Genomic DNA, 7,816 nt, shown 5'->3' on the forward strand with positions numbered 1-7,816 from the left:
GTCCCATCCAGGGCATCACAGTGGGAAGCTCCAGACATTCAAAAGGCTGCACTTCCATTGATTATTTCTTTGAAGGAGGTATATATGACATGACCATTTGAGATGAAATCCACTTCAGACTTGGTGAATTGATTTCTATTTGGCTCCCATTGTACGTGACTTTGAGCAAATTAACCAACCACTAAAAGTCCTTCTAGGAAATCATAATGCTGGAAAGGAACTTAAACAATAAATTTTATTTTAACAAGTTTATTCAGGTTCACAGTCACAGCCACTCCAGACACATGAGAATCAATTTCATTTCAAGGGAAGTCTAGGGAAGGAGATTTTGTACCCTCTCTCGTTGTCAGCAAATGTTAAATTTAATCTAAAACCCTCAACTTTGGTTTAAACACAAGTTTTGTTCGTTTGTTCCCAGTTTACAAACAGAATAACTGGTCACTGTAAATTGTATTAGTCCTCTAGGTACACGAGTTGTTTCTTCTGTTTTGGGGGTCTCCTCTCTTTATACTACTGGCCATCTATTCACTCAGTTGGTATATATATATATATGTATGTATGAGTTGCACACATCTTCATTTCCAGGCTTCCTTCCTTCCACTCTCCATCCCCTCCCTCTTCCCTTCCCTTTCCTTCCCTTCCCTCCTCTCCTCTCCTCTTTTCTTTCTTTCTCTTTCTTTCTTTCTTTCCTTCTTTCTTTTTCTTTCTCTTTCTCTCTTTCCCTTCCTCCCTCCCTCCCTTCCTTCCTTCCTTCCTTCCTTCCTTCCTCCCTTCCTTCCTTCCTTCCTTCCTTCCTCTCTCTCTCTTTCTTTTATTAGAGATGGGGTCTTTCTCTGTTGCCCAGGCTGGAGTGCAGTGGCATAATTATGGCTCACAGCAACCTCGAACTCCTGGGCTCAAGCAATCCTCCTGTCTCTGCCTCCTGAGTAGTGGGATTACAGGCACACACCACCATGCCTGGCTTTTGCTTTTAGTATTATTTTCCTCTCCTGACCATAGGCAATTTTTATTTTAACATTCTACCAACATGTTAATCTAAAAACTGAGCTTGGATGACTCATATGCAGTTTTTCTCCCTTCTCAGATTCATAAGACTAGAGTGATGGCTTTTTCTCGTTTCCCTTGTGCTTATATTGATATCCAGGTACTAAAGATTCTTCCATTTTCCCCTTTTTCCATTTCCTCACCAACTCTGTAGTCAGTGCTGAAGTCCAGAGGTTGTTTGCACTCAGGAGATAGCTCCTGGCTGTCTCCAAGCTTCCCATTTCCCTACCACATTTCCCATAGCAGGAGAAAAAGTATACGTTCTTCTGGAATCCTGGCTCCTATTATTATGAACCTGCTATATTTCTGAATTGCCACACAGAAGTAAGACTTTAAAAGGCAAGATTACTCAACTTCTCCACACCAACAAAATAAACTGGCTCAATCTTTGAGTTCAATAATTAACCAAATATTTATTGATCACCTCTGTTGTTCTAGGCTTTGTTCTAAGTGCTAAGGAGCAGCTTGATGATGAAGAGCTACTGTCCTAGTTCCCATGTACTCATTTGTTCCACCATTAGAGCCTATGCAAATGCCATTGCCTACACCAGAAATGACCTTCCTCCTTCCTCCTCCCTCCTCCTCCTACCTGAGAGATTATGTCACTCATCCCCCAAATTAATTTTCTTCCTGAAGTTTTTCATGAACTGGCTGTGTGGCTTACTTTATTCCAGCCATAGCTGGCCCCTATTTTTTTTTTTTTGAGATGGACTCTTGCTCTGTCTCCCAGGCTGGAGTGCAGTGGCGCGATCTCGGCTCACTGCAACCTCCGCCTCCCGGGTTCAAGCGATTCTCCTACCTCAGCATCCTGAGTAGCTGGGATTACAGGCGCACGTGCCACCACACCAAGCTAATTTTTGTATTTTTATTAGAGATGGGGTTTCACCATGTTGGCCAGGCTGGTCTTGAACTCCTGACCTCAGGTGATCTGCCCACCTCGGCTCCCAAAGTGCTGGGATTACAGGCGTGAGCCACTGCATCCAGCCAAGCTGGCCCCTATTCTTAAAATGTCTGTGTAGCCATTCTTAGTAATATGTATGTGTTGTGAATACACATGGCTTCAGTTATGGTTAGCCCTCTGTATCCATTGGTTCTGCATCTGTGGATTCAACAAAATTCTGGTCAAAAATACTTGAAATCAAACCAATGAAAAATAATAATAAAGAAAATGTGCAGAGGTGCAAGGAGGAACTGGTACCATTCCTTCTGAAACTATTCCAATCAATAGAAAAAGAGGGAATCCTCCCTAACTCATTTTATGAGGCCAGCATCATTCTGATACCAAAGCCAGGCAGAGACACAACACAAAAAGAGAATTTTAGACCAATATCCTTGATGAATATTGATGCAAAAATCCTCAATAAAATACTGGCAAACTGAATCCAGCAGCACATCAAAAAGCTTATCCACCATGATCAAGTGGGCTTCATCCCTGGGATGCAAGGCTGGTTCAATATACACAAATCAATAAATGTAATCCAGCATATAAACAGAGCCAAAGACAAAAACCACATGATTATCTCAATAGATGCAGAAAAGGCCTTTGACAAAATTCAACAACATTTCATGCTAAAAACTCTCAATAAATTAGGTATTGATGGGACATATTTCAATATAATAAGAGCTATCTATGACAAACCCACAGCCAATATCATACTGAATGGGCAAAAAACTAGAAGCATTCCCTTTGAAAACTGGCACAAGACAGGGATGCCCTCTCTCACCACTCCTATTCAACATAGTGTTGGAAGTTCTGGCCAGGGCAATCAGGCAGGAGAAGGAAATAAAGGGTATTCAATTAGGAAAAGAGGAACTCAAATTGTCCCTGTTTGCAGATGACATGATTGTATATCTAGAAAACCCCATTGTCTCAGCCCAAAATCTCCTTAAGCTGATAAGCAACTTCAGCAAAGTCTCAGGATACAAAATCAATGTACAAAAATCACAAGCATTCCTATAAACCAACAACGGACAAACAGAGAGCCAAATCATGAGTGAACTCCCATTCACAATTGCTTCAAAGAGAATAAAATACCTAGCAATCCAACTTACAAGGGATGTGAAGGACCTCTTCAAGGAGAACTACAAACCACTGCTCAAGGAAATAAAAGAGGATGCAAACAAATGGAAGAACATTCCATGCTCATGGGTAGGAAGAATCAATATCGTGAAAATGGCCATACTGCCCAAGGTAATTTACAGATTCAATGCCATCCCCATCAAGCTACCAATGCCTTTCTTCACAGAATTGGAAAAAACTACTTTAAAGTTCATACGGAACCAAAAAAGAGCCCGCATCGCCAAGTCAATCCGAAGCCAAAAGAACAAAGCTGGAGGCATCACACTACCTGACTTCAAACTATACTACAAGGCTACAGTAACCAAAACAGCATGGTACTGGTACCAAAACAGAGATATAGATCAATGGAACAGAACAGAGCCCTCAGAAATAATGCCGCATATCTAGAACTATCTGATCTTTGACAAACCTGAGAAAAACAAGCAATGGGGAAAGGATTCCCTATTTAATAAATGGTGCTGGGAAAACTGGCTAGCCATATGTAGAAAGCTGAAACTGGATCCCTTCCTTACACCTTATACAAAAATCAATTCAAGATGGATTAAAGACTTAAACGTTAGACCTAAAACCATAAAAACCCTAGAAGAAAACCTAGGCATTACCACTCAGGACATAGGCATGGGCAAGGACTTCATGTCTAAAACACCAAAAGCAATGGCAACAAAAGACAAAGTTGACAAATGGGATCCAATTAAACTAAAGAGCTTCTGCACAGCAAAAGAAACTACCATCAGAGTGAACAGGCAACCTATAAAATGGGAGAAAATTGTCGCAACCTACTCATCTGACAAAGGGCTAATATCCAGAATCTACAATGAACTCAAACAAATTTACAAGAAAAAAACAAACAACCCCATCAAAAAGTGGGCGAAGGACATGAACAGACACTTCTCAAAAGAAGACATTTATGCAGCCAAAAAACACACGAAAAAATGCTCACCATCACTGGCCATCAGAGAAATGCAAATCAAAACCACAATGAGATACCATCTCACACCAGTTAGAATGGCAATCATTCAAAAGTCAGGAAACAACAGGTGCTGGAGAGGATGTGGAGAAATAGGAACACTTTTACACTGTTGGTGGGACTGTAAACTAGTTCAACCATTGTGGAAGTCAGTGTGGCGATTCCTCAGGGATCTAGAACTAGAAATACCATTTGACCCAGCCATCCCATTACTGGGTATATGCCCAAAGGACTCTAAATCATGCTGCTATAAAGACACATGCACACGTATGTTTATTGCGGCATTATTCACAATAGCAAAGACTTGGAACCAACCCAAATGTCCAACAATGATAGACTGGATTAAGAAAATGTGGCACATATACACCATGGAATACTATGCAGCCATAAAAAATGATGAGTTCATGTCCTTTGTAGGGACATGGATGAAATTGGAAACCATCATTCTCAGTAAACTATCGCAAGAACAAAAAACCAAACACCACATATTCTCACTCATAGGTGGGAATTGAACAATGAGATCACATGAACACAGGAAGGGGAACATCACACTCTGGGGCCTGTTGTGGGGTGGGGGGAGGGGGGAGGGATAGCATTGGGAGATATACCTAATGCTAGATGACGAGTTAGTGGGTGCAGCACACCAGCATGGCACATGTATATGTATGTAACTAACCTGCACAATGTGCACATGAACCCTAAAACTTAAAGTATAATAATAATAAAATAAACAAATAAAAAAAAGAAAAAAAAAGAAAATGTGGTACATGTATGCCATGGCATACTACACAGCCATAATAAAGAACAAACTCATATCCTTTGCAACAACATGAATGCAGCTGGAAGCCATTATCTGAAGTGAGTTAAAGCCAGAAAAGGAAACAAAATGCTGCATCTTCTCACTTGTATGTGGCAGCTAAATATTGGGTATTCGTGGATATGAAGATGGCAACAATAGACACTGGAGGCTGATAGAATGGGGAGGGAGGGAGGTTAAGTGCTGAAAACCTACCTTTTGGGTACTATTCTCAGTACTGGGGTGATAGGATCATTCATATCTCAAACCTCAGCATCACGCAATATACCCACATTACAAAGCTGCACATGTGCCCCCTGAATCTAACATAAACGTTGAAAAAAGAAAGAAAAATAATAATACAGCAATAAAAAATAATACGAATGAAAAACAATACAGTATAACAACTACTTACATGGCATTTATAATGTATTAGATATTACAAGTCATCTAGAGGTGATTTAGAGGATACAGGGGGATGTGAGCAGGCTATATGCAAATAAGACACCATTTTAGATTATGGACTTGAGCATCTGAGGATTTTGGTTATCTGCAGGGGTCCTGGAAAGCCATCCCCCATGGATAGCAAAGGACAACTGTATTTGTCTGTTCTCCTCGACTACGAGTTCAACTGTTAGGAGGGAGGACAGTTGCCTAATATGTCATAATAATAATGAACCCTTCACCTTTTTGAGATTGAATTGTCTGACTATATCTGTCAGGTCTAGTTGGGAGGCAGAAATCACATTAGCTGTTTTAACAGAGAGAACTTGATATAATAAATTGTTAGTCTGGTATTGGAGATCCAGAAAGGCAAAATGGGGACACAGGTATTTCAGAGGTTGTAACTGCTGCAAGTTGCTCTACCCCTAGGACTGGGGAACACGGGAAAGAAGTTGAAATGGTTAAAAGTTAATAACTTGGAAGAGGAGATGCTGCTCAGCTGGTGTTGATATCTCCAAGGGAGCAAATGTCACTTCCAGGGTGAAGAATCCTTGCTGGGGTGACACTGACAGAAACAGTAAGCAAATGTGGATGAGCAAGTCCCTTCTCCTCCTTCTATCCTCACAGCCTTCCTAGTGTGCTCCTGTTGGCAAAGTATAACAGGGAGCATCTGACCAAGCAGAAATGTACCAAGTACTAGCCCTTGATACCTCTGAGAGCAGAACTAAGCAGGGCAGGTTTGGAGGCAAGAGAGAAGAGTTTTATAATCAAAAGGCTTACTTGGGGGGCAATGGGTCACAGAAATCTAAAATTTTCAGACACTTAAACTGAATCCCACGCCTACCTCTGACCTTAATGCATTTTCTGTGCATTTTACTTGTCCAAAGAAATCCATTATGCTTGCAGTTTTTAGAGAATGAGTAATGTTTAAAATCAGCGCCCAGTAGGAAACTTTCAGAATTTGTTAATGGAGTTTTCATGTGTTCTCCTAAGCAGAGGTAGTTGGGGGTGTCCCACAAAGCTTAACCTTACCTGCTACACTGCACTACATGAAAACCATGTCCTGGGTGAGCCTGGGAGAGTCTGGTATCACCTCGCTTCGGTGAGCCTGGGATCGGGCATCTCAAGCTGAGCAACAAAAAGAAAATGTGTGCTTTTCTGCTGAGCCAAAGTGGCTGTTGGAGAATTTCACTGAGACTTCATTTGTTGGAAGTCTTTTTCATCTTTATGTTGTGTGTTAAGGGAAGGTGATGATTGTTTATTCTTTGTAATTTCTTCCATTTCTGGTTATGCTCTGTTCAGAAGACTGCAGTTTTCAATTACATAGGTAGGAGGTCTTTAGAATACTTTTAGAAAGACTTTTCTTAGTACAAAAGGGATACATGCTCATTGAAGGTAATTTATTAAACAGTGAAGCAAAAAGAAAAGCATAAAAATCACCTGTAGTTCCGCTTCCCAGAGATAATTACTGTTGATATTACAAATGTTGTGTTACATATCATTACGTATGTATATTATATATGTATGTGTGTTTTTATACACACACTTTAAAATACATACTTAAGAGTAGCATATATATTATTAAAAGGGGACAATTCTTCACTGCCTGTCTTAGTCTGTTTTCTGTTGCTTATAATAGAATCCCCGAAACCAGGTAAATTGTAAAGAAGAGGAATTTGTTTCTTACAGTTTTGAAGGCTGAGAAATCCAAGGTCAAAGGGCCACGTCTGGTGAGAGCCTTCTTGCTGGTAGGGACTCTTCAGAGGCTGGAAGCGGTATGGGACATCACATGGTGAGTAGGTGAGTGTGCTGGCTTAAATCTTTCCTCTTATAAAAAAATATCAGTCCCGATTCCATGAGAACCCATTAATCCCATTAACAAATTAAGAGCCCTTATGACCCAATCACCTCTTAAAGGTCCCACCTCTAAATGCTGCCACATTGGGAATTAAATCTCAACATGAGTTTTGGAGAGGACGAATATTCAAATGATAGCATTACCTATTTGGTAATCTTTCATTTAACAAGCAAGTTGCTCCTGTACTAAAATTTCTAAATTGTTGTCTGTAGTAAGCATTATGCCTGTTCAGTCCTCTCAGTTACATCCTGCTGGCTACAACACGGGAATAATCACACACACTCGTCTTATGTATCCCTTAGTTACTTAAAAATATTTGCTTCAGTAATTGTCTACACATCTCAACCATGATCTGGTATCCTGGAGAATAAAGAAATATGTAGATGGCTGAGAATTTTCAAAAGCATTAAGGCATCACAACTTAGATTGGTCTTAAGTCCTCTCTTATTGGTTAAGATTTTACTCACTTCTAGTCTTCATGAGGATTTCTCTATTTGAGGCTACACTGAGCATAAGCAAACAGTGAATCAGCAGGTACAAACAAGTTTTGATAACCTATCTTCCTCATAAAAGGCCTGCCCTACTGTTTCTATTCATTGTAGTTTTTTATGCACAGAATTTTGCTCC

The 7,816-nt window shown here is 40.3% G+C and overlaps 1 long non-coding RNA gene across 2 annotated transcripts in view; it reads right to left on the reverse strand.

Annotated features, from left to right (window-relative positions):
- LOC124905257 (uncharacterized) overlaps nucleotides 1-7,539 on the reverse strand; it is a 121,005-nt gene extending 113,466 nt beyond the window's left edge. Inside the window, exons 1-3 of one of the 2 annotated variants that reach the window (XR_007068408.1) lie at nucleotides 7,333-7,539; nucleotides 7,019-7,097; nucleotides 6,274-6,459 (exon numbers count right to left, since the gene is read on the reverse strand). This is a non-coding gene — a long non-coding RNA (uncharacterized LOC124905257). Of the gene's footprint in view, nucleotides 1-6,273; nucleotides 6,460-7,018; nucleotides 7,098-7,332 lie in introns of those variants that run through there. The other variant, XR_007068409.1, reaches the window with a different exon arrangement.
- Nucleotides 7,540-7,816: the final 277 nt, after the last annotated feature.

The sequence above is a fragment of the Homo sapiens genome, chromosome X (assembly GCF_000001405.40).
Source record: "Homo sapiens chromosome X, GRCh38.p14 Primary Assembly".
NCBI classification, from domain to species: domain Eukaryota; kingdom Metazoa; phylum Chordata; class Mammalia; order Primates; family Hominidae; genus Homo; species Homo sapiens.